Source organism: Homo sapiens, chromosome 16, assembly GCF_000001405.40.
Source record: "Homo sapiens chromosome 16, GRCh38.p14 Primary Assembly".
Lineage (NCBI taxonomy): Eukaryota > Metazoa > Chordata > Mammalia > Primates > Hominidae > Homo > Homo sapiens.
The window spans coordinates 2,254,500-2,278,682 of NC_000016.10; the positions used below are offsets into that span (position 1 = coordinate 2,254,500).

Below are 24,183 nucleotides of genomic sequence, written 5' to 3' on the forward strand. Positions count from 1 at the left end.
TGTTAGCCAGGATGGTCTCGATCTCCTGACCTCGTGTTCCGCCCACCTCGGCCTCCCAAAGTGCTGGGATTACAGGCGTGAGCCACCATGCTAGGCCTAATTTTTATATTTTTTGTACGGATGGGGTTTCACCATGTTGGCCAGGATGGTCTCGACCTCCTGACCTTGTGATCCACCCACCTCAGCCTCCCAAAGTGCTGGGATTACAGGCGATTGCTACCACACGTGGCAAAGTTTTACCTTTTTTTTTTTTTTTTTTTGAGATGGAGTCTCACTCTGTTGCCCAGGCTGGAGTGCAGTGGCATGATCTTGGCTCACTGCAAGCTCCACCTCCCGGGTTCACGCCATTCTCCTGCCTCAGCCTCCCGAGTAGCTGGGACTACAGGCACCCACCACCACGCCCGGCTAATTTTTTTGTATTTTTAGTAGAGACAAGGTTTCACTGTATTAGCCAGGGTGGTCTCGATCTCCTAACCTCGTGATCTGCCCGCCTCAGCCTCCCAAAGTGATTACAGGCCTGAGCCACCATGCCTGGCAGAAGTTTTACTTTTTAATACTAGAAGTTGGGACAGGTCCCACCTGATGGGCCTGCCCTGAGCTCTTGGGAACGGGTGCTTGTGAGACCCAAGGCAGAAGCCCAGGCTTTCCTCCTCTTCCCCAAAGGCTGAAAGCACAGCTCACCACCGGCAACGGAAGACCAAACTGTGGCCTCTGCCGAGGGATTACCACCCCCGCCCCACAACTCTTCTGACCCCCAACTTCTCCCTCTCCTAGCTCTTCTTGTTAGCTCAGAAAAAGGTGGGCCTGCACCTGGGCTCACAGGTCTAGTGGTCTCCTAGGAAGGCCACACCACGCCACTGCCCAGACTCAGAAAGCTGTGTTGGTGCAACTCTAGGGCGTCTCCTGCCTGTGGCTTACTGCAGCTGTGGCCCTCCTGCTCTCTCCATGAGCTCTGAAGGGCTCCTGCTCTCTGCCAGCCCGCACAGCAGTGGAAGGCAGGCAGGGCTGAATAAAGGGTCTGAAAGTCACTGCGGTCACATGAGGTTTGTGGCCTGATCAGTCCACTGAAACTACAAATTGTTTACCTTCTCCTCATCCGTGGGGGAGACCTGCGCCACATAGGCGGTGGTGGCAACATTCTCCTGGGAGGGCTGAATCTCCTGGGGGGTGGCCTAGGCCAGGGGGCCAGCACGGCGGTGGCAGTGATCTCCTGGCCATCAATTTGTCCTGTTGAAAAAGACAGCAAGTCATAAAATATCTAACAAGCATCTACCCTAGACAATGCATGCCACAGTGAAAGACAGGCCTGGGGGGACAATGACAATGTAAGATAATCACAGAAACAGGGCCGGGCATGGTGGCTCACTCCTGTAATCCCAGCACTTTGGGAAGCTGAGGCAGGTGGATCACGAGGTCAGGAGATCGAGACCATCCTGGCTAACATGGTGAAAATGTCTCTACTAAAAAGACAATAAATCAGCTGTGCGAGGTGGCGGGCGCCTATAGTACCAGCTACTCGGGAGGCTGAGGCAGGAGAATGGCGTGAACCCGGGAGGCAGAGGCTGCAGTAAGCAGAGATCGTGCCACTACACTCCAGCCTGGGTAACAAGAGCGAAACTCCGTCTCAAAAAAAAAAAGATAATCACAGAAATAACATCATGACTAATGTTTCATGAGGAAAAGAGGCATAAAAACTAACAGGACACACCAATCTCCACGTGTCGAGGCAGCCTCCCAGGTCAAGAGTCATCCAAGTCAAGAGCTAAAGAATGTGCTGGAGGCCAGACGCGGAGGCTCACGCCTGTAATCCCAGTGCTCTGGGAAGCCAGGCAGGCGGATCACAATGTCAGGAGTTCGAGACCAGCCTGGCTAACATGGTGAAACCCCATCTCTACTAAAAATACAAAAATTAGCCGGGCGTGGTGGCGTGTGCCTGTAATCGCAGCTACTCGGGAGGCTGAGGCAAAACAATCTCTTGAACCCAGGAGGAGGAGGTTGCAGTGAGCTGACATCATGCCACGGCACTCTAGCCTGGGCAACAACTGAGACTCCGTCTCAAGAAAAAAAAAAGAAAAGTAAAGAATGTGCTGGAATCTGCTAGGTGGAAGAGAAGGGCTATGCTGGGCCCTGTGCTGGGAAGGACCCAAAGCACTGGTGAGAGAAGGTAGCATCGAGAGCGAGTGACAGGCAAACAGAAGGCCCCAGGGCCAGGGTGGGGCTTCCTCGCAGGACCATGCAGGCAGTATCCGCGTTTGCGCTTCCTTCTCCTCCAACCAAGGGAAGCTGGGTCTGGGGCTAAGAGAAGTGGGAGAAGTTCTCTTAGGAGGGCTCTGCAGCACTGAGAGGGGCCTGAATCAACATCAAATGATTTGGCAGGGAAACGGAAGGATTCAGGGGACAGCTGGGAAGTAAAATTGCCAGAGCTTGGTGATGGATGGGATGGGGGTGGTGAGGTGTGAACTTCCACTGACGGAGAGGTGGGGCTGCGGTGGGAAGCTGCATGAAGGAAATTTTAGGAGATGCCAAAGACTTTGTGTTTGGAAACAAGCAGTCTCAGAGAGGTGGCTCTGCATGTAGATGGCACTGAAACACACGCCATGTGCATGAAGCGAGGAGAGGCAGTGTGGGATGTGGGCTCCAGGGAGAGAGGAAAGGAAATAGAGGTGCAAACCCAGGAACCCCAGGGGAGCATGCACCCCGACCTCAAGAATTGTCTGGTAGCTGGGGATACTGGGAGCCCAAGCGCAGCCCCTTCTGTGCCCTAAGGGGTAAAGGGCTCTTTTGTTTTCTCAACTACCTTTAAGGCACATGGGGACTAACTCCGGCATGTGGCTATGTATTCAGAACATACTTAAGAGGTTTAACTTCAGTAAACTCAGCCTAAGTTAGCCCAAATTAGGGATTTCACAGCACTGACTCTATAATAATGAAGAAAAATCCATCTTCTGTGTAGCTGCCAGTAAAGGCCAACCCCTTCTCATCTCCTATGGAGACAGCATGGACTCACTCCATTCAAAGACAGAAGGGGAGACACACAAAAAAAATCCTACCAGAATCTTACGAAAAGTTGGAATGTCTGTAATCACGCCCACCCAGAAGGTACCCGGGTCCCCTGGGTTTTTAGCTCAGCAAGCACTCAGACTGTCAAACAGCAGATAATCAGCAGACTCCACAGCAAAGGTGTGACTTACAAGGCCAACAGCTGATGTGAGCGCACAGAGCTCCTAACCCATTTCAGGACTTAAGAAACTTGAAAGAAAAGTTAGCCAAATATCAAGGAAACTTTCCTAATGCCTGAAGGGCAATTACTGAAAAAAACCAGCTAAGCTACTTATACAGTTTGTAACAGGGCCTCGGAAGACGGAAAGTTCTGGGGCACGCACACTCCACTCCCCACCAGGCCTGGCAGCCCAGACAGCACTGTGGGCTGTGTTCTCAGTGCCAGCGGCCTCAGTCACAGCAGCAGGGAGTGGAGCAGAGATGACTCCACATGCCTCAAAATGCTGCACTGAGGACAAAATGCCACCCGAAACTATTCACAAGGGTCCATGTGCTTTTAAAACCATTCTGCCAGATACAAATAGCTATAAACGTCATGAGTGGTTATGAGATACAAGTGTTTAAGAAATAAACTGTATAGATTCAGTAAATCCAGTCACTCAGCAAAATAAACTAAAAATGCTGAAATACTGGGAAACTTCTGGTTCTCAGAAATGATTAAAGGAAATATTCCCATATAAAAAGCCAAATGTATTCTATGTAAGAAAACTGAATTTGATCCTTAAGCTTTTAACAGATTGGAAACTCTCTAAAATGTTAATCTACGCATATTTGCTAATTTTTTTCCCCCAAGAATAGTGTTCCTTTAAACTGGAGCTACAAAAAAAAGGTGTTCCTAAAACATCTTTTCGGTAATCACACACCCACTAAGAACTGGAATCCATGCCGGGCGCGTTGGCTCACGCCTGTAATCCCAGCACTTTGGGAGGTTGAGGCGAGAGGATCACCTGAAGTCAGCAGTTTGAGACAGGCCTGGCCAACATGGTGAAACCCCATCTCTACTAAAAACACAAAAATTAGCCAGGTGTGGTGGCGGGAGCCTGTAATCCCAGCTACTTGGGGAGGCTGAAGCAGAAGAATTGCTTGAACCCAGGAGGTGGAAGTTGCAGTGAGCCAAAATCATGCCACTGCACACCAGCGTGGGCGACAGAGCAAGACTCTGTCTCAAAAAAAGGTGTGGGAGGTTGATTGTAAAGAAAATTCTGTATGTAAACATGCTGGCTAAAGTTAAAGGGGTATCATCTAGTTTTTCTGTAAATTAAGCATTAAAATTACGTTTAGGCCGGGCGCAGTGGCTCACACCTGTAATCCCAGCTGCTTTGGGAGGCCAAGGCGGGTGGATCACCTGAGGTCTGGAGTTCAAGACCAACCTGGCCAACATGGTGAAACCATGTCTCTACTAAAAATACAAAAATTAGCTGGATATAGTGGAGGTTGCCTGTAATCCCAGCTACTCGGGAGGCTAAGGCAGGAGAACTGCTTGAACCCAGGAGGCGGAGGTTGCAGTGAGCCAAGATTGCACCATTGTACTCCAGCCTGGGCAACAAGAGCAGAAAAAAGTCTCAAAAAAAAAAAAAAAAAGGATTGGGTTTTAACATTAACAGCACACTGATGTAAAAGTGAAATTTGGCTTATTTGGTACCAAAAATTATACAGGAAGCACTACCAAATATAAAATTGGGTTTGGCTTTGTTTGGGCTGTATTTGTATAAATGTTATTGATATGTGTCCCAAAATCACGTAAAACTCCTACAATTGCAATATATCCTAGTGTACATGATCAGTAATAATTATAATTGTTATGTTAAATTATTGTGTGCCACAGAGCTAACAAATTTCGTCAATTGTGTCTTTAACTATGGCTGCCCTAAAACCTTTTTGTCATCCATAAACAATTGTTGTCTTGTTTTAATCCTTTTTAGAAGGTGGTTTTATAATCAGCTATAGAGTTCTAACAGTTGCTCTTAAATACAGATTTCTAATAACTTTGCAGATTGTGACATCAGAATAAAGAAAAAACATTCAGGACTCTTAAAGAGCTAAAATAAGGCCGGGTGCAGTGGCTCACGCCTGTAATCCCAGCACTTTGGGAGGCTGAGGCGGGCGGATCACGAGGTCAGGAGATCCAGACCATCCTGGCTAACAGGGTGAAACTCCATCTCTACTAAAAATACAAAAAATTAGCTGGGTGTGGTGGCCGGTGCCTGCAGTCCCAGCTACTCGAGAGGCTGAGGCAGGAGAATGGTGTGAACCCAGGAGGTGGAGCTTGCAGTGAGCCGAGATTGCGCCACTGCACTCCAGCCTGGGCGACAGAGCGAGACTCCGTCTCAAAAAAAAGAAAGGTAAAGCGTTCATTAATATCAAGCAGGGCAGAAATTAACTGCATAAACTGAACTAATAGAACACTGAAGTAATCTTTTTAACTTTTTGCTTAAAATATTCCTAATCCTTTTATTTTTCAAAGTCAAAAAAAGTTTTAAGCTATCAACAATTAAGTATACGCCTAGGAACAAAACTTGGAGCATATTTGTTTCTCTCTACCTAATTTCTTCAGAATTTGGAAACTATTTGTGTGTGTGTGTGTATTCTTTTTTTTTTTTTTTTTTTTTTTTTTGAGACCTAGTCTCACTTTGTTGCCCAGGCTGGAGTGCAGTGGCGTAATCTTGGCTCGCTGCAATCCCTGCCTCCTAGGTTCAAGCAATTCTCCTGCCTCAGCCTCCCAAGTAGCTGGGACCACAGGTGTGTGCCATCATGCCCGGCTAATTTTTGTATTTTTATTAGAGACGGGGTTTCACGATGTTGGCCACGCTGGTCTCAAACTCCTGACCTCAGGTGATCCATGTTGCCCAGTCTATTTGTACGTATTCTTAATTTATAGCAATATAGTTATTTGCGTAAGTGCAATAAAAATCCGTTTTCTTTTGTAACAGAACACAAATAAAAAACCGGCCTCCTATTTTGTGTACACAGTCCCTGTACAGGGTTTCTAATCTGAGGGAAGTAAAACATGCCACTTTCTAATGGACAAAAACCTCAAGTTATCTTGGAACCTCAAGAGGAGAGGATTTCACCCAACTCACAGGTATTTAATTGTACATATCCATGGCTGGGCTTGGGTTTAAAAAGGTATTATCTCAGATAAAAGGCCTATAGAAAAAATTATGGTTCTTGCTCCACTGTATACAAATAATTAAGCCAAATATAATAAAGCAAACCAGTCTTGTCTTTTAATAAATACCAGTCCTATTTGTCTTTTAATAAAAATGGGAAGCCCCCAAAAAAAATTGTTGGCTGGGCATGGTGGCTCATGCCTGTAATCCCAGCACTTTGGGAGGCCGAGGCAGGCGGATCACAAGGTCAGGAGATCCAGACCATCCTGGCTAACACGGTGAAACCCCGTCTCTACTAAAAATACAAAAAATTAGCCAGGCATGGTGGTGGGCGCCTGTAGTCCCAGCTACTCGGGAGGCTGAGGGAGGAGAATGGCATGAACCTGGTAGGCAGAGCTTGCAGTGGGCCGAGGTGGTGCTACTGCACTCCAGCCTGGGCGACAGAGCCAGACTCCGTCTCAAAAAAAAAAAAAAATTGTTTCAAAAACTATAGTACACCCAAATACTGTTCTCAATTTTTTCCTTTTTTGTTTCCTTTTTCCTAATTGGAAATCACTGAAATCTAAGCTATGCTTTCCTCAAGCCCTGTAAACTGAAGACTAAACTTGGGAAGAAAACAGCAGCAACCTACTTCTATGTGTGGCTGTTGCATCCTATTACGTTTCAGCAGGTGCTGCCTCGAAGCCCCCAGAACAGAAAGTGCTACCGGGAACAAATCCACCTCTTCCACTCCAGCGCTGTGTTTGGTGCCCCATGACGACAACCCTCTCTCAGCAGGAAGCAGCCAGAAAGATTACAATGCTTCATCTCCCTACGATTCTCGTGATTAATAAATACATATACATGCATGATAAAAAGCATGAGCAAATTGACAGTGGGGATTGTGGCAGGCCAGGTCTCACTAACGCAGGCCTCTGTAACAAGTGTTTTAGTACTGTCTGAGTAGTTAAATATTAAAAGCCAAGGCCCTTATACAAAGGCTGGGATATAAGAAAAGCCCACCAAAAGTTTAGCTTAGGCCTTTCCTGGGCCTTAAAACATAAAATAACGAAGAATACGTCAGGACCCATTTAGGATTAAGCCAGTTTTATTGGGAAGAAAACTCCCCAAACTGCTGTGATTTAGCAGAAGGCAAAGCAAGGGTAATTACCCCAGCACTCACAGCCATTTAAATTAAGTCAATTTACTGAGGCTCCAGAGGAAGGTCTTCAAGACTCAATCCTTAGTTAATAGATTAAAAGTCAGTAACTTATGTCTTTACATAAATGTACACATATGTATAGACATATAGCTTAAAAAATATATAAGCTCTGAAAAACTTTGTAATTTTAAGTTGGTCTGGCAATAATTTCCAGGCCTTTTCCCTGCAACTGGTTGCAGAAATAAAAACTCCACCTACTCAGTTAATGTGCATCTTGTTATTGGGCCATGAGAAATAGCAGCCCAAACCTCAGTTTGGTCCAGGAACTGCACCCCAGCCTGGGCAACAAGTGTGAAACTCTGTCTCAAACAAACAAAAAGAAGTGCAGCCCAGTTGGAAATCAGTTTGAAAGCCCCTCGCGGCGGCGGGTCTCTGAGAGGTCAGGGTTATGTGGCAGGGTCACCCACCTCCATCCATGTGCTTCAGCGCCTTCTCGGCTTCATCTGGATTCTCAAACTCTACGTACGCATAGCCTTTGGACAGATGGGGATGCATCCTTTCCACGGGCATGTCAATCATTTTAATTTTCCCATAGGTGGAAAATATCTCCATGATGTGATCCTAGAGGGAAAGAAGGGTCACGCCAACGCCCAGCTACCAGTCAGTCACGTCAGACGCAGAGAGCTCAGCACATCATGACTAAAACCTCGGCAGGGTAAAACATTCCATCTGATGAGTACCAGTGTTGTTCTGGGATAAATCTCCCAGACACATGTATTAATGGTCCACCAAGAGGAACGAATCAATGCTGTACTCAAACCACATGCCACCACCCCAGTCCTCCAAAAGGCTACATTCTAAGTTCATCTGCAGGCACAGGCCTGCTTGTCCACACCCCACTGCCCACAGGAGAGATCCATGATCCTCACCTTTGTCACATTCCGGGTGAGTCTCCCAATGTGCACTTTGGTGGGCTTAGGAGATGGGCTCCGCCTTTTCCTCTCCTTTTCATCTCTTTTAGGTGGTTTGGATCTGATTGAGAAAACAAAACACCAGAAACAATTTCTGTCAAGTCAAAATGTACTAGACGCCTTTCGAGTAAGCTCTTATCTGCTTGTGTGACAGTTTTCATAAGGAAGACTTTCCTGCTAGTTCACATACATTATTCCTGTCTCAGAAATCCTATTAACACAGAAAGACTCCTTTTGGGTCCCTTTTATAACCTCGATGGTAAATCTGTAGCCCCGAGCTTGTAAACTTTAGCTCCCAGGCGCAGGGCACTCACTTGGAGCGGGAGCGCCTCCTGTTGTCGTGTCTGCGCCGAGAAGGACTTGGAGAGCCAGAAGAGCTGCTAGAGCTGGAGCTGCGGGAGGTGCTGGAGCTTCCTGAGCGGCTGGATGCTGAGGAAGAGCTGGAGCCACTGCTTGAGCCAGTGCTGGTGCTGGAGCCTGAGCTGGAAGTCGAGCTGGACCGAGACCTGAGGGCAAGATGAGGGGTCACAACCACCACACACCAAGTCTCACAGTACAGACGCCTCCTCCAATTCTGTTGTGCTCCCCCCAGGAGAAACCTGCTGTTCGGGTGCCTCCAGGCCTCACTGCTTTCAGCAGTGGGGAAAACATCACCCCCCAATCCCCCAGCAAGTCAGAGCCCTAGGTGTCACATTGTGTGTGGGACAGGACAGAGGTGATGGGCTGCCTTCTACCCATACAGAAGCCTTTCCTGCTGGGAGGCAAAGGACTCTGGCAAAAGTCACAACTGCCAACTCAGGCTGGGAAGGCAGCTGCTGGCTGATGCTGACCCAGGCTAGGTTGATTTTTTCTTTTGAGACAGGGTCTGCCACCCAAGCTGGAGTGCAGTGGCATGATCTCCGCACACTGCAGCTTCAACCCCCTGGAATCAAGCCATCCTCCTGACTCAGCCTCCCGAGTAGCTGGGAGTACAGGCGTGTACCACCACACCCGGCTAGTTTTGTTTATTTTCCTCAAACTCCTGGGCTCAAGCCATCCTCTTGCCTCAGCCCTCCCAAGTAGCTGGGACTACAGATGCATGCCACCACGCTCAGCTAATTTTACAAATTACTCTTTTTTTTTTTTTTTTGTAGAGACGAGCTCTTGTTTTGTTGCCCATGCTGGTCTTGAACTCCAGGCCCCAAGCAATCCTCCTGCCTCGGCCTCCCAAAGTGCTGGGATTATAGGCATGAGCCACCACTGCACCTAGCCAGTCTGCCATAAATTAGGGTCTCTACTAACAATCAGAGGATGTGTTTTCTTTGTAAATAATCAAGAAAACCGAGCCATCTGTGGGGAGTGGGGGTGTAGCTGTGGCACAGGTCCTCTCCAGGCTCCAGGCCAGCCCGCCCCACCTGGTACTGCTGCTACCACTGGAAGCGCTGCGCCTCTTTCGGGTTTTGTCCCGGCCGCGATCCTTCTCACTCGACTCCTTGGTGGCCCCTTTATCTTTTGAGCGATCCTTGGACTTCTCATCTGAGCGGTCTTTGCGTTTGGTAGGTGAAGGAGCCCTGGATGGTGAGGAAGAGTGTGAGATTGCGTGCTCCTCTGACCAAACCCAAACAGCACAACCCAAAACGGGGGATCAGCATCAGCAGGGCCACAGAGACCCGAGGTGACCACAGAGCAAAGTGGTCTGTGGCTCAGAACACTCACTGTAGAATGCAGAACATTCTCAACTTTCCCCTTTCTGCGGGTCCCTAGCAGTAAGCACCCCCAAGTAGCACTAGAAAAATCTTACAGAAGGATTACCTAGTGCTGGACTTTTTATTATTTTCTTTGACTCCTAGCAAGCTCTTCTTTTTCACTCCTGATAAATCCATTCTCCCCTTCTGAGGTGTTCAAAGCAGCAATGGCGGCCTCACTTATCTGAACTCTCACTTCTAACTTGATTCTGAGAAACGATCCCTAATCGATTGCAATTTACGCCAAAGAGCAGCCTAATAACAAGATAAAAGGGTTTAAAGAGTGAACGAATTGGCAAGGCAACAAGTCTACTTTGCAGTCAAAAGCTGAGCACACAAAAAGGCAGCAAGGGAGCACGGTAAGCAATAAGTGTCCACACAGTCAGGAACACATAGGGACAGTCCCCATGTGCTCCTGGAGGCGTCTCTACCCCGCAGAGGAGGCACAGGTACAACTGTCGCCCCAGCGTATCTTTTTCTTAAAAAATGGAGATGGTGGAGACCATCACTGTTATTTTACAGGCTGAACAATTCAGTTTTCACCCACAAGTTTGATGAGCCCCTGCAGTCCTTTCAAAATGCCACAGCACCACATTCACATGCAGAACAGAGAAAAACCTAACTCAAGGGTGGTCTCCAGATAGGATTAGATCTCCTGTTTTATTGCAATTTCCCCTTAGGATACACTGGATGTGACTGGAAGCAAAAATCATTTCAAAAGCGACTGGTACCAGCATCAAAACACTTAATACCCAAAAGCAAGCAGATGAAATGTACCATATGAACATCTAAAAAGCAGTAGAAGAATCATTTTAAAAAGCAGTTATTGCACTGTACTTTAATAATATGCATATTGAGTGCAGGGGAAGACACATGCAAGTCTGCAATTCACTTTTAAAGAAAAAATAAGATTGATGGGTGGCTAGATACACCATACAGCAAATATAGCAGAAACGTAACTTATAGACTATTAACCTCTGATTTTTTTTTTTTTTTTGAGACAGAGTCTTGCTCTGTCACCCAGGCTGGAGTGCAGTGGTGCGATCTTGGCTCACTGCAACCTCCGCCTCCCGGGTTCAAGCATTTCTTCTGCGTCAGCCTCCCGAGTAGCTGGGACTACAGATGCACGCCACCAGGCCTAGCTAATTTTTGTATTTTCAGTAGAGACAGGGTTTCACCATATTGACCAGGCTGGTCTCCAACTCCTGACCTCGTGATCCGCCAACCTCGGCCTCCCAAAGTGCTGGGATTACAGGCGTGAGCCACCAGACCCGGCCCTTAAGTGGTCTTTATGTGAGTATTAACTGTATAACTCGACCTTCCTGTGTTTTTTTTAACATTTTTCAAAAATAAGATGGAGAAAAAAAGTAGGCATTGAAATTGCGTGAGAGACTGCCTGCCATGTAAGAGTTTAGCAAAATGCCTGGACTGCAGAATGTGCTCAAATAACGGTAACAAATTACTCAAAAACAAATTACTAATTAGTTATGGGCCCTATTTTCCAGGGACTTCTGCCTTCAGTATTTCTAGTAAGGCTCTGCACAAGCTGCAGGAGTTGTTAAGTGAAGATCTCAGGAATGGAGTCTCAGCTACTTCTGTCTCACCTTCTCCAAGAGCCAGTTGGTAAGGAGGACACAGCACACCAATGTGGTCCTGGTTTCCCTGTGCAGTGCACGCCAGGGGTGCTTCAAAATGCTGCTGAAAATACGTTCTGACCCAAGAAAGAAAAGCACCTGGCTTTGAACAGTCAAATGAGAGCCAAGGAGGGCCGAACGCCACCTTTGCTGCTCTTGTCCAGGGGTAAAATGTTTTGCTTTAGAACAGTAAGGTTCTGCAGACACCCAGCAGATAGTGCCTCGACACTCTTTGTGTCCTCGGACAATCAGTGAGTATCATTCAGAGTATAATTTAGAGTCTGGAGCCAGAGGGCCTGGGTTTGATTTGAGGTTTTACTGTGTGATTTTAGACAAGTCACTTATCCTTTCTCAAGTTTCTCATCATCAATATGGTGACAATTACAGTTCCAACCTTATAGTTACCCAGGGCATTAATTAAAGACTCGATAAATGTTAGGAGCAAGAGTTGTATCTCCACGTCCGGAGGCTCCTTCCCCCACAGACACTTGTCTCCAAAGTTACACTAATTTCTGAACTCTCAGCTGGGTTCCTGCACCCACCCGCCTTCGAATCACCTGCAGCAGCACTGTCCAATAGAAACCGTGTGAGGAGCCACAAGCATCACCTGAAATTCCTTAGTAGCCACGTCACAAAAATGGGTGAAATTAATTTTTAACGTTTGACACATCCAAAATATTATCTTTCCAACATATAATCAACATAAACATCTAATAAAAGTTTGCTTTTTTCCTAGTCTTCTAAAACTGGTGTGTGTTTTAATATTTCAGTCTTGATTAGCTGTATTTCACATGCTTAGCAGCCACATGTGGCCAATGGCTACTTGGCTGGACAGCACAGACCTAGAGTGGAGGTCACACCCGCAGATTCCAGCCCCACCCCCCCAAGAACTAAGATCTGCCCGAATGTACTTGGTGAAATCAAACACCACCAGTTATTCTTAAGCACTCCAAACACTAAGAACCACTGAGTAAGCGGACGCCTTGCTGGGTGCGGTCGAGTGCTAGAAAGCAAAAGTTGAGGTTCTCTGTTCACCCAAGTTCAGGTACCGGCTCAGGACCTCGGTTACCTCCCCCATCCTCCGGAAAGGTGCGCGTCCAACAGCCAGAGAGAGGAGAGAACAATTAGTTAAATCTCGAGGAGAGGGCGTTTCGGCACAAATCTTCAGAGCACCTTCCCCATTTAAAAGTACATTTCAGGCACAGTTCATGCGGAATCAAGACAAAAAGCCTACTCCACGTTTCTCCTCCAACAAACTTAACCTTCCCGTATCCGCCCCTCTGGGGTAACCCATCAAACTGAGCTCGGCCACCGTGCTCGGTCCATAGTGGGCCGTATCCCCACGGCCTAGCGCCGATAATTGCACACGGGAGTCCGGGAAACGTTCGCGGAGTACACGTTTGAATTAATGACTCCGAAGGGGGGATCGGCCGACCTTCCACCGCATCCCACAAAGAAACTCCGCGCCCGCCGACACCGGCCCGACACGCCGACCTCGCCGCTACCCGTCCGCGTTCACTCACAACTCCCCCGTCCAGGCGCCGGGCCGCGAGCGCTTCCAGGGCAGGGCCTGGCGTTGGGGGCTTGGGTCTCCGGCCCGGCGGGAGGGCCCCAAGGGCGGAGGCCGCGCTCCCCGCTGGTCTGAGTCCCGCGGGCCTGGCTGGGCCACCGCCGAGCGGACGAAGCACAGGCGCCCTTCCGTCCGCAGCGGCCCCGACCACTTCCGGGCCACGGCCTCGACACCTCCCACTCCGCCCGCCCCGGGCCACACTCTTTCTTCTCGGAGCCCGCACCGCGCTGCCAGGCCACCGCCGCACTGCGGGGCTGAGGAGTGGACCGGCTTCACGAGGCGTCCTGCCGGGCCTGCCGGGCAGCCCCCGAAACACGGATGCAGTCGGATTCCGCCCCAACTTACATCTTCCCGCCGCCGCCACCTCCTCCTGCTTTCCTCAGCCGCCGAGGCCGGCGCCGCTCTGACGTCAGAGTCAAGGAGCGGGAAGTCGCCGCCGCCCGGCGCGCAGCGATGACGTAAACGCCTGGCCCAATGGGCGCCAGCGAGGAAGCGTTAAAGAGTCAAGGCAGTTTGTGGGAGTCGCGCTGGGGACGTTCAAGGTGTCTCCTAGCCGGTAAAGTCCCTGGGACTGACCGGGCTGGTTGCACGCTTACTGGAGCGGGCACATGGGTAGCCTGTTGAACCTGGGAGGGCAGCGCGATGACCGAGGCTCGTCCTCCGGCGCGGAGGGTGTTAACGCGCCCGTGCCCCGCCCCTTTCCTTGCGCGGGCGCACTGGGCCCGCCCGGGCAGACTCCGGCCCCTGTCGCCGGCGGTGGAGGCGGGGCTCCGGGCCGGGCTGTGCTGAGGCCGGCGGGGTGGTAGCACAGGAGGGGTTCGCAGGCTCTGCGGCCGTGCGTGGCGGGGCGTGGGGGCCCGCAGGGCGGAAGTAGCTCGGAGAGACGGGCTGGGGCAGGGCGTGCGTTCGTGCGGTCAAAATCCACTGGTGGCGTTTGGGGTGTTCCCGTGGACGCGGCCTCCCGGCAGGCGGACCTCCACCGGGTGGGCGCGGCAGGCGGGCTGTGCGGGCAGGAAGAGCGACGAGCTTGAGAGTGGGAGATGGGGTGCAACGGCGGGCCTCTCCGGGGAGGTGACACTGCCGCTGAGACCCGAATGGAAGGGCGCGCCCGGCGGGGGAACAGCAGGCGCCGAGGTTCGCTGGAAGCAGGGAAGGGAGGCCCGGGTACCGGCTCGCAGGCCCGCGCGAGCTTCGCGGCAGCGGCACGGAGCGTGTGAACGGCGCAGCGCCGAGGCTTCATCCATCGGCCGGTGCAGGGTCCGGGCAGGGAGCACTGTCGACCAGGGTCCGACCCTGGGAGAGTCCAGAGGTGGCGCCTCTGGCAGGGACAGAGGAGGGGGTGACGCTGTAGGGGTGCAGGCAGGAGGCTCCGCGTCAACTCCCCACACTGACGGGGCGGATTTTTTTTTTTTTTTGACAGAGTCTCGCACTGTTGCCCAGGCTGGAGTGCAGCGGCGCGATCTCGGCTCACTGCAACCTCCGCCTCCCGGGTTCAAGCGATTCTCCTGCCTCAGCCTCCCGAGTAGCTGGGATTACAGGCGCACACTACCACACCCGGCTAATTTTTTTTGTATTTTTCTGGTAGAGACAGGGTTTCACTATGTTGGCCAGACTGGTCGAGAACTCCTGACCTCGTGATCCGCTCCTAGGTTCGCCTTGGCCTCCCAAAGTGCTCGCTCCTGGGCGTCCCAAAGTGCTGGGATTACAGGCGTGAGCCACCGCCCCCGGCCGAGGGCGGGTTTTGTTCTCTGCTGTGCCTGTCAGGCAGTCGTTGCCCTGTGGTTATTTGTGGAGGGATTGACGGTGCGCTGAGCTTCAGACTTTGTCTGAACAGCTTCGTGGCAGCAAGGAAGGGAGAAGGGAACAGATCCAAGCCGATCTTTGGGAGGAGAGAACCAGCATGACTTGGAGACTTTAGATGTCAGAGCAAAGGACAGGGTGCAGCTTGGTGACCCGGAGTGGGTGGGTGGGTGAATGGATGGATAGATAGTGGGGATGTGGTCTGCCATCACTGCCCTCTTCCCTGTGTGGGAAGCCAGCTCTTGGTGACTTCCTGCCGAGACCCACTCCCTCTGGCCCTGTCCGAGGGTGTCAAGTGTGCCCTTGACCCTTCACCCTGGGCTAAGGGATGTCCAAGGAGTTGGGGACAAAGGCAGCTAGGAGGAGGAGCTACCTCCCGAGTCTGCTGCAGTAAGTCACCAGTGTGTTCCTGTGGGTGGAGGCTGGCAGGCCCATCAGTCTGGTTTGGGTACCCGTTGGATTTGGGTTTGATGACATGTAAAGTGAGTTAGAGTCTCTGCATTACTGTCACACCTGCTGTGCCCAGGCATGGAAGATTAAGTGGAACAGAGGGGCCGCCCCCCTGCTGAAGGGGCCCCAGAGTCGGCGCTAGGGGAGGGGGCAGCCTCGGTGGTCCAGGCAGGCATAGGCGGAATTCTCTGAGGTGGCATTGGAGTCCAGTGGTCAGAGGTGCTAAAAGGCCCCAAACCTAGAGCCCATGCCCAGGGCCCCACTGACACCTGGTGGGCAGGGGCAGCCTGGTGACCCCACATGACATGGGTGGGCGTGACGCAGCACCAGCTGGGCCGACAGCCCTCCCCCTGCTGGTTTTTAATGCTCTGCAGTAATGTCATTTGGCCTGCGAATAAGCTTTCACACATTTTATATTAAATCTACAAGTATGATTTATTCAGGCACTTACGAATTTAATCAAATTTGTTTCTAAATATTACTGATTTTTGTTATCAAATGTGCCATCAGCTGTTGAGCTTTGAGAATTGAGCATCCTGGCTTTTGCCATTTTGAGGATCAGCAGAAGCATGTCTGGAAGAAATGTGAGAAAATAAAACTCAGGAGCCTACCCCCACCCTGCCCTTCCAGGAGCTCAGCCCCAGAGCCAGGCTGCTAAGGCCATGGAGGCTGAGGGCAGTGGAGCTGGGGTTTCTGGAGCCTCAGGGGCCCTGGTTTGCTGGAAGGGCAGGCAGGGCTTCATGGAGGGCATTAGGCAGTGGCCAGAGCCCTGCAGTGCTGGGCATGGGCTTCTCGTGGGCTCTGGCCACGGCCCTGAGCTCCTCCCCTTACCTTCCCAGAGCGGAGGGTCACCTGCTGAGCTGGGCACGGGCTTCTCGTGGGCTCTGGCCACGGCCCTGAGCTCCTCCCCTTGCCTTCCCAGAGCGGAGGGTCACCTGCTGACAGTTTGGGGCGGCTCTGTCTTTGAGAGCATGCCCTCATGAAGGCAGAATGTCCTCCCTGCCTCCATCCTCTGTGGCCCGGTGGCTCCTGCAGTGCCTGCCCTCAGAGGCTGGTGGCCTGGGACACAGGGATGAGGATGGGCTTGGTGGTGCTGCAGGTCACAGTGGGTCATGAAGGAGCTTTGGGGGTGTTGCATTCTCTGGTAAAGCACAGCAAGGGAGCCCTTTTACCCACTACTAAAACCTGGCTCTGCACTGAGGCCATGCGCAGCCCAGTCAGGTGGACGAGGGGGTAACGACTGGACCGTGGGGAGGCATCAGAGGAGGAGCTGCTGAGAGGCGGGTCACCACAGCCTGGTGCCTGTCTGGAGAGGGTGGGGCTGGGGGAGGTGCTGGCCAGGTCCATGGGGGTGGCCAGGCTGGGTCTGAAAGGGCCTTGCGCTGGTGTGGGGTGAGCTTGGTCTGTTGGGAGAGTATGCAGTTCATTGGGGCCTCCCTGGCTCCAGGTTTGCATGTCTGAGGAGTGGGTATCATCAGGGCCTGGGGCCTCTCCAGTGGGCATGTCTGAACTCTCCCAGGGTTGGGAGCCTGTGCTCATCACAAGCTCAAAGCACTCCATTTCTGCTACCATGAAGTCAAGGATGGTGACTGTGAGCCGCCTGGGACCTGAGCTGCCTGGGACTGTGACTGAGGCACCCGGGGTGCCTCTTAGGGCCTTGGGTTTGGGCCCATGGCTAGATGAGCCTTGGTGATTCTGTGGTATTGCCTGGGCCAGGTGGACCCAGGGGCAGCTGCGGCTAGTCCATTTGGAGCTCCTTCAAGCCGAAGCATCCAACACCAGTGTCTGTGAGGTGTGGGCCCGGCCCCAGGAGCGGGGCCTGGGCAGCCCCGTGTGTTGAGGAAGGAAGGCAGGGCCCCCGCTCCCCGGGCCTGACCCCACTGCTTCAGCCCCCTCCTGCCTGCCTACAGCCTGGCCTCGAGGGCCCATCAGGTGAGGGGACCCCACCTGCACCACCCCGTCCTACCTCCTGGAGGAGGCCTTGCCCCTGACAGGCAGCCTCCAGCCCTCCCACCCTGATCCCTGTGTGGGATGGCCAGAGCATGCCCAGCATGCTGGGGTTCGGCGGTGGGGGGCATCTGGAGGGAGGGACATGTCAGTTCGGGGAGGGATGAGCAGCCTAAGTGACTGCAGTGCTGGGCCATCTCCTGCATGGTGGAGCTCCCCTCGAGCCGCCTGTCTGCAGGGGGCTCTGGCCAGTAGTGCAGCCGGGCAGGGTCTGTACGGCACAGGCTGCACCAGCCTCCATGCAGACCAGTCTGTGTGGGAGTGGGGGTCTCAGAGGGCCCAGCCGGCCTATGCCATGAGCATGGTGCTGGCCCAGAGGGGGAGCTGAACAGCAGCTGGGTCGGTGCGTTACCTGGTGGGGCAGCAGACAGCAGCTGCCCTGGCTGGGGTTCAAGCCCCGGGCTGGCCTGGTGGAATCCCCTCTCCGTCACCCCCAGGTTCTGTTCTTGCAGGTGTCAGGCCTGGGGCCTTGAGACAGACCTGCAGTCTCCACCACAGCCACAGTGGGTGGGGTCTGGGTCCTCACGGAGGTGATCCTCCACCCCCACACCTACCTTGTGCATGGCAGTGGTGTCTCCTGGAGCTGGTGAGACCCCACCTCACTCAGGAAACCCCCCAGACGCCCCCAGGCAGAAGTGGCCATACTCCAGGGCCTGCATCCCTGTGCCCCACAGTGCGCCCTGGCCGGTTGGTTGTAGGAACTCAGAAAAGCAAAGCAAACAGGATGGTTCCCTGCTGGACACATTACATTCCCTGCTGGACACATTTCTATTGCAGATCTTTAGTCCAGGATTCCAGGGTAGCCAAGGTCACCTGAGTCCTGGGGACTCTGGGCCTGGTCTCTGAAAGCAGCCAGTAAGACAGAGATGGGAAACCCAGCAAGATGGAGTGAGCCAAGGGCACAGTTGGGTCCAGGCGCAGCAGGGAGCTGCCTGGGGGTGACACACACTTGACGGAGGCCACTGCACACACCCTACCCCGGCCTGAACTTGAGCACTTCCTTTTTTTTTTTTTTTTTAGATGGAGTCTCACTGTAGTCCAGATGGAGTGCAATGGCGTGATCTCGGCTCACTGCAAGCTCCGCCTCCCCGGTTCACGCCATTCTCTTGCCTCAGCCTCCTGAGTAGCTGGGACTACAGGTGCCCGCCACCACACCCGGCTAATTTTTTTGTATTTTTAGTAGAGACGGGGTTTCACCGTGTTAGCCAGGATGGTCTTGATTTTTCGACTTCATGATCCGCCTGCCTCGGCCTCCCAAAGTGCTGGGATTACAGGCGTGAGCCACCATGCCCGGCCAAGCACTTCCTTGAACACAGAGGTGACCATGAGGAGGGAGGCGTGAACCAGGATGACGGGGCAGCAGATGGAGCCTGCCTCCCTGAGACCTCAGGTGACCGAGTGCTGGACTGCCTCCTCCTGCCTACATGGCTGAGAAATAAACTTCTTTTTCAAACCACTGTGACCTGGGGTTTTCTGATACCCTCAGCAAGCCTGTTCCTGTGGCCTGGTGTGGGTCCCCTGACCTGTGGCCTGGGCTGCCTGTATCCGGCCTGCCCCTCTGCTCCGCTGTAAACCTGTGATGGCAGTGGAGGGGCTTGGCCTGGGCCCGCCCCACCGCGAGGTCTTCCCCTCTCCGAGTTCTGGGTGTGGTTTCAGTTGAGCCACGCCGTTGGACTGGGCCGGCCTGGAGGACAGAAGGCACAGGCTCTTCCACATACCTGGCTCGTGGCCCATGGGCCGTCTGCTCACGGGAGCCCTGCACCAGGCCATGCAGAGCAGTGAAGTCAAAACCTCGTTTCCCAGGTCTAAGGTGAACTGGGAGCAGGGCAGGAGTTGGCTCTGTCAGATGCCACAGTTGTTTGGGGACAGTGTCCGTAGAGAATGTGTGGCCCCCCTCCGTGGTCTAGGGTGGAGCGTGGATAGGCCGGTCACTCCTATCCCTGGGCCCAAGGCTCTTTTCCCCTGCCCTCCCGTGGGCTGGGAACTGCCACAGCTCAGACAAAAATCGGCCAGGGCAGGGTCCTGAGGCTTCAGTCCCAGGCTCCTTAGGGCACCCCTGGTGACCCAGCTCCAGCACTGAGTTTCCAGAGGCCTTGAGGATTTCCCTGGGATGCCAGATGGGCCCTTCCTGCTGCTCCTGGGGTCATCTAAGCTCCAGGCTTGGGTGCAGCCCTGGGCCCCTGCCACAGACGCCCTGAATGCACCTGCCCCTCCCGGTCCCCACGCAGCAGCCTCCTGAGCTGCGGATCATTTTCCTAAGAAGGCATTCTACTTGTGCCAGTCCTTACTTAAAGACCCCTGCTGGTGCTGGCAGCGTGCTACCGGGAAGGATGGTATCTCCTGTGCGTGTCCTGTGTACGCTGGCCTCACACGTGTGTGCCTCATGCGGGCTGTGCCCTCAGTCCTATACGCTCTCCCCAACCCTCTTTTAGGGTGTCACAGGAGAAAAATGACACATTCCTAAATCTCTAACACATGGGCTTGAAAACAAGTCTGAGGATGCCCTGCAGAAGGGCCATGGGCATGGACATGGAGCTGGGTGGCCTCGTGCACTGACCTTTCCCTCTTCCTAGCCCCAGGCCCGACCTAGAGGCCACAGCCCCTGCGGACAGGCTGTGGGGCCAGAAGGGCCCACTTCAGAACTTTTCTCGTGGGCAGTGTTTAGGCCACAGCCACCCATGTGTAGGGGTGGCTACACATGGGTGGCTGTGGCCTAAACACTGCCCAAACACGTTATATTTTTTATAACATGGAACTAGATGGCAGAAGTTTAAAGGGAATAAAAGAGCTACTGGAGACGATTTGCAGCTTTCATAAATTTCCAGAGACTGATAAAAACACAGACTTGAAATTGTCCCAAATGAGCCAAAGTGATGAAAACAAGTCTTTTCTAAAACTCTGAATTCTAAGGGAATGTAAAATGCAGAAGTTCAAATCGGGTTTAGAAAACCATAAGAAATAATAGTGCATTCGCCGGGCATGGTGGCTCACGCCTGTGATCCCAGCACTTTGGGAGGCCAAGGCAGGTGGATCACTTGAGGTCAGGGGTTTGGCAGCAGCCTGGCCAACATGAGACCTCGTCTATACTAAAAATAAAATTTAGCCATGCATGGTGGCGCATGCCCTTAGTCCCAGCCACTCCGGAGGCTGGGGTGGGAGGATTGCATGAGCCCAGGTGTTTGAGGCTGCAGTGAGCTGTGATACCACCACTGCACTCCACGCTGGGCAGCAGAGCAAGATCCTGTCTCCAAAAGACAAAACACAAAACAGTGCATAAAAAGGGGCCAGGCACGGTGGCTTATGGCTGTAATCCCAGTACTTTGGGAGTCTGAGGTGGGTGGATCACTTCAGGTCAGGAGTTCGAGACCAGGCTGACCAAGATGGTGAAACCCCGTCTCTACTAAAAACACAAAAATTAGCTGGGTGTGGTGGCGCGTGCCTGTTGTCCCAGCTACTCGGGAGGCAGAGGCAGGAGAATGGCTTGAACCCGGGAGGCAGAAGTTGCAGTGAGCCAAGATTGCGCCACTGCACTCCAGCCTGGGCAACAAAGCAAGACTCCATAAATAACTAAAAAGGGAGCTGATGAGGAGTTATTTCTGGGAAATGGCAAATGCCCACGGGTGACCCTGATGCCAGCAGCTTCTCTCCCACCAGACCTGTGCTTCCCACACAGCCCCACCTGCTCTTGTCTTTAGACTAAGAGCCTGTCACCGGGCGTTGATCTAGCCGGCTTTTTCCTTTGTGTTATGGGCCTGTTCCTTCACCTCAGTGTATTCTCTGCGTGTGCTCCCTTCTGGGAAAAGCAACGTCCCACGTTTGTGTGATTGAAATGTGAAAGGAGAGCCTCATGTCTAGATTGTGGGCGAGTGATTGAGCCCTGTGACCGCTCGCGCGTGTGACCCACAGACTGTGACTGTGTCCCCTCAGCATTTATTTTCTGGATGGTCACAACGTATTCAATGTGTCCTTGAGACAGCCACCCAGCCCTTAGGGTGGTCCCTGCGTGTCCTGGGGCGGGCGACTTCCTGAGGGTGCAGTGCTGGAAACAGAGACTGCTTCGAGCCTGGCCACCTTCCCTCCTGTGCCGGCTGCTTCTAGGAGATGCTGTGGGACGGTGCCCGGCTTCGCGGTGACTACCATGCCCTAAGGAGCAGAGCCTCCAGGATGCCCCCGGGCTGCGCTGGACGCTAAGACCCCAGCACCTAATCACAGTCAGCAGCTTCCCTCCACTGACAGTGATCTGCATGGTCCATTCCTGGCGGCCTGGGGGCCTCGCTACAGTTCAACCTGGCTGGCTTCCCGCTTCCTCCCCAGGGGAGATTAGTGTCGTGTGTAAACTTGGACAAGTCACTGGGTCCTCTCTCCAGGGAGTGCCTGGAGAAATTCAACCCCCAGCTCAGCTGCAGCCCTTCCTGGGTCAGCTCTCCACCCAGAGACCCCGGAGCTTGCCCGCAGACTGCCCGGCCTGCCCCAGCTCTGGGAAAGTGAACTCCAGAGTATGCAGACATGGAGATGCGCATGCTGATCCTGGGCATGAGGGCTGGGCTGCACTCGTCCATTCTGTGCATACTGCCTTGAATTTTTCATATCCATCATAGAAAAAAGTGATTAAAAATAAAGGATGAGATAAACTTGGAGAGAGAGGATGTAAGATGGGCCCTGCTTGCCCGTCCTGTCCCTGCCTGATGGCGAGACAGCCGCCACCCCTCATCGCCCCTCCTCTGCGGTGGGCGGCTGCAGGTGGGCGAAGCTCAGGAAGACCTGTTCCAGCGAGATCTGGCTCACGGAGTAGTCGTCCACGCCGTACTTTTCCTTGGCTTTCTCCAGAATACCGAAAACCTTTGGGGAGCAGAAAAGTCACTGGTAGGAGAGAACAGGGCCCAGGCTCCTCTGCGGGACCTGGGAGTCCTCTGGCAATAGGGGCTGATGAGGCCCCCACAATCCTACCCCTGCCCAGCGCCACCCCAGAGCCCCAGAGAGGTCAGCCCTGCGACGGCACCGTGCTCCCAGGTAGAGGACGCTGGCTAAGCAGGAGCCAGCGGGGATGGGGCCCAGCCTCCTCCCTGTGCTGTTCCCAGCTCAGATTACAACCTTGAGCCAGTGATGTTCCCTTTCTGAGCCAGTTCTTTTTTTCCCCCATATTTTTTTAGAGAGAGTCTTGCTCTGTAGCCCAGGCTGGAGTGCAGTGGCACAATCATAGCTCACTGCAGTCTCGAACTCCCAGGCTCAAGCGATCCTCCCACCTTAGCCTCCCGAGTGGCTGGGACTACAGGTATGCATGATACCTGGCTAATTTTTAAATTTTTTGTAGAGACGGGGTCTATGTTGCCCAGGCTGGTCTAGAACTCCCAGGCTTAAGCAATCCTCCCTCCTCGGCCTCCCAAAGTGCTGGGATTATGGTGTGAGCCACCATCCCTGACCCCTTTCCTGTTTTACACTGAATTCCTTTTACCACTGATAATTTTGGATATAAAACCCCCAAACCAGCACGTATCAGGCTGAGTGTTAGGGGAGAAATGGAAAGTGACTCCTCTGTGGAAAGAGCCTGCAGTCACCACAGAGGGAGAGACCCCTGGAGGGACCTCCCCCTGCCCCATGAGTGCCCAGTGGGGCCCCAGGGACTGCCTCACCTTCGCCCAGCTGAGGTCACGGCCCGGCAGGTGGTAATGGACCATGCCTTGGTGCTCATCTTCCAGGACGCTGCCTGCACAAAGGAGAGACGGTGTTGCTGTGAGCGCCGGGCTGGAGGATCGGGGAGGGTGCCTGGGTGCTCAGCACTGGAGTCCTCGTCCCAGGGATTGGGGAGATGGGACTTGGCGGGGCGAGGCACAGACGCTCCGCACAGCAGATGGGAGAGGCCTAGGTAGGGGCCCAGGGCCCACCCAGTGGGGGCTGCCGGGGCCGGCACACACCTGGAAAGGTCAGGTCCACGAAGGCCTTGAACTCCTCCAGCGCCTCCTGTTGCCCTTCACTCTGCACCTTGGCCCGCAGGGAGTAGCCGCTGCCGAACTTGCTCTTGAGGTGCTGGGGGCTGCCCAGGCACTTGAACTGCCCCTGCACCATGATGGCCAGCCGGGTGCACAGGGCCTCACACTCCTCCATGCTGTGGAGAGGGCGGGACCTCAGATAGGGCTTGGGGTGCCAAAGGCTTGTGCAGACAGGAAGGCATTGGCTCTCCGATCAGGCTGTTCCTGATACCCATGCTCAGTGTGGCTCACGGGCAGACTCTGCACCAGATGCTGATGGGTCTCCTGGCCACCTGGCTCCTCCATGGCCCACCCGGTGCTGAAACTTCCAGTAACCCACAGACCCAGGCTCTACCTGTGGGAGGTGATGATGATGGCCTTGCCAGACTCTCGGGCTCGTGCCACGGTGTCCCAAAGCAGGCGCCGGGCCACGGGGTCCATGCCAGTGGACGGCTCGTCCAGGAAGATGACAGCAGGCTCTCCGATCAGGGCGATGCCGGTGCTCAGCTTCCGCTTGTTACCACCACTAGAGGCAGGAGGGTGCCAGGTGGGGGAATAAGGCTGAGAGTTAGCATTGGCTCCCATGTCCCAGTGGAGGCCCGTGTCCCAGCAGCGGCCCACACCCAGCAATTGCAGAACAGCCCTAGTGAAGAGGAAGGAGCTGTGTGTGCACCTGGAAAGCCCACCGCATAGGGCTGGAGGCCCCAGAGAAGGCTGTTCCCAGGGGCCCGGTGCACGCACCTACATGGG

General features: G+C 53.4%; 2 protein-coding genes, 1 long non-coding RNA gene and 3 other non-coding genes across 14 annotated transcripts in view, besides 3 other annotated features; 4 read left to right on the forward strand and 2 right to left on the reverse strand.

Annotated features, from left to right (window-relative positions):
• Window positions 1-16: part of an enhancer, noted in NCBI's record as "H3K4me1 hESC enhancer chr16:2303743-2304516 (GRCh37/hg19 assembly coordinates)", that runs on past the window's edge. NCBI's record gives its function as "activates a minimal SCP1, AML or CMV promoter by ChIP-STARR-seq in primed H9 embryonic stem cells {active_cell/tissue: H9 hESC(primed)}" and the evidence as "EXISTENCE:reporter gene assay evidence [ECO:0000049][PMID:30033119]".
• Window positions 1-13,627, reverse strand: part of RNPS1 (RNA binding protein with serine rich domain 1) — a 15,011-nt gene extending 1,384 nt beyond the window's left edge. The window contains exons 1-7 of one of the 9 annotated variants that reach the window (XM_005255048.3): window positions 13,076-13,627; window positions 10,074-10,261; window positions 9,677-9,832; window positions 8,597-8,788; window positions 8,241-8,343; window positions 7,779-7,932; window positions 1,086-1,227 (exon numbers count right to left, since the gene is read on the reverse strand). In XM_005255048.3, the coding sequence (XP_005255105.1) occupies window positions 1,086-1,227; window positions 7,779-7,932; window positions 8,241-8,343; window positions 8,597-8,788; window positions 9,677-9,832; window positions 10,074-10,144 (818 nt within the window). In that variant the 5' untranslated portion in view covers window positions 10,145-10,261; window positions 13,076-13,627. Of the gene's footprint in view, window positions 1-1,085; window positions 1,228-7,778; window positions 7,933-8,240; window positions 8,344-8,596; window positions 8,789-9,676; window positions 9,833-10,073; window positions 10,262-11,610 lie in introns of all 9 variants that reach the window. The other 8 variants (XM_047433516.1, XM_005255049.5, NM_001286625.1 and 5 more) reach the window with 8 other exon arrangements.
• Window positions 13,435-13,694: an enhancer, noted in NCBI's record as "active region_10263". NCBI's record gives its function as "activates an Ori minimal core promoter by ATAC-STARR-seq in GM12878 lymphoblastoid cells {active_cell/tissue: GM12878}" and the evidence as "EXISTENCE:reporter gene assay evidence [ECO:0000049][PMID:35858748]".
• Window positions 13,825-14,274: a silencer, noted in NCBI's record as "silent region_7040". NCBI's record gives its function as "represses an Ori minimal core promoter by ATAC-STARR-seq in GM12878 lymphoblastoid cells {active_cell/tissue: GM12878}" and the evidence as "EXISTENCE:reporter gene assay evidence [ECO:0000049][PMID:35858748]".
• On the forward strand, window positions 14,164-18,573 carry MIR3677HG (MIR3677 and MIR940 host gene). Its single transcript, NR_132988.1, has 3 exons — window positions 14,164-14,344; window positions 17,177-17,392; window positions 18,488-18,573. It is a non-coding gene; the product is annotated as an MIR3677 and MIR940 host gene (long non-coding RNA).
• Window positions 16,214-16,273, forward strand: MIR3677 (microRNA 3677). The gene has a single exon (NR_037448.1). It is a non-coding gene; the product is annotated as a microRNA 3677 (primary transcript).
• On the forward strand, window positions 17,248-17,341 carry MIR940 (microRNA 940). The gene has a single exon (NR_030636.1). It is a non-coding gene; the product is annotated as a microRNA 940 (primary transcript).
• Window positions 20,121-20,192, forward strand: MIR4717 (microRNA 4717). The gene has a single exon (NR_039868.1). It is a non-coding gene; the product is annotated as a microRNA 4717 (primary transcript).
• Window positions 21,382-24,183, reverse strand: part of ABCA3 (ATP binding cassette subfamily A member 3) — a 64,848-nt gene continuing 62,046 nt past the window's right edge. The window contains exons 30-33 of the mRNA NM_001089.3: window positions 23,789-23,959; window positions 23,380-23,570; window positions 23,098-23,171; window positions 21,382-22,306 (exon numbers count right to left, since the gene is read on the reverse strand). Coding sequence (NP_001080.2) covers window positions 22,175-22,306; window positions 23,098-23,171; window positions 23,380-23,570; window positions 23,789-23,959 — 568 coding nt within the window. The 3' untranslated portion in view covers window positions 21,382-22,174. The remainder of the gene's footprint in view (window positions 22,307-23,097; window positions 23,172-23,379; window positions 23,571-23,788; window positions 23,960-24,183) is intronic.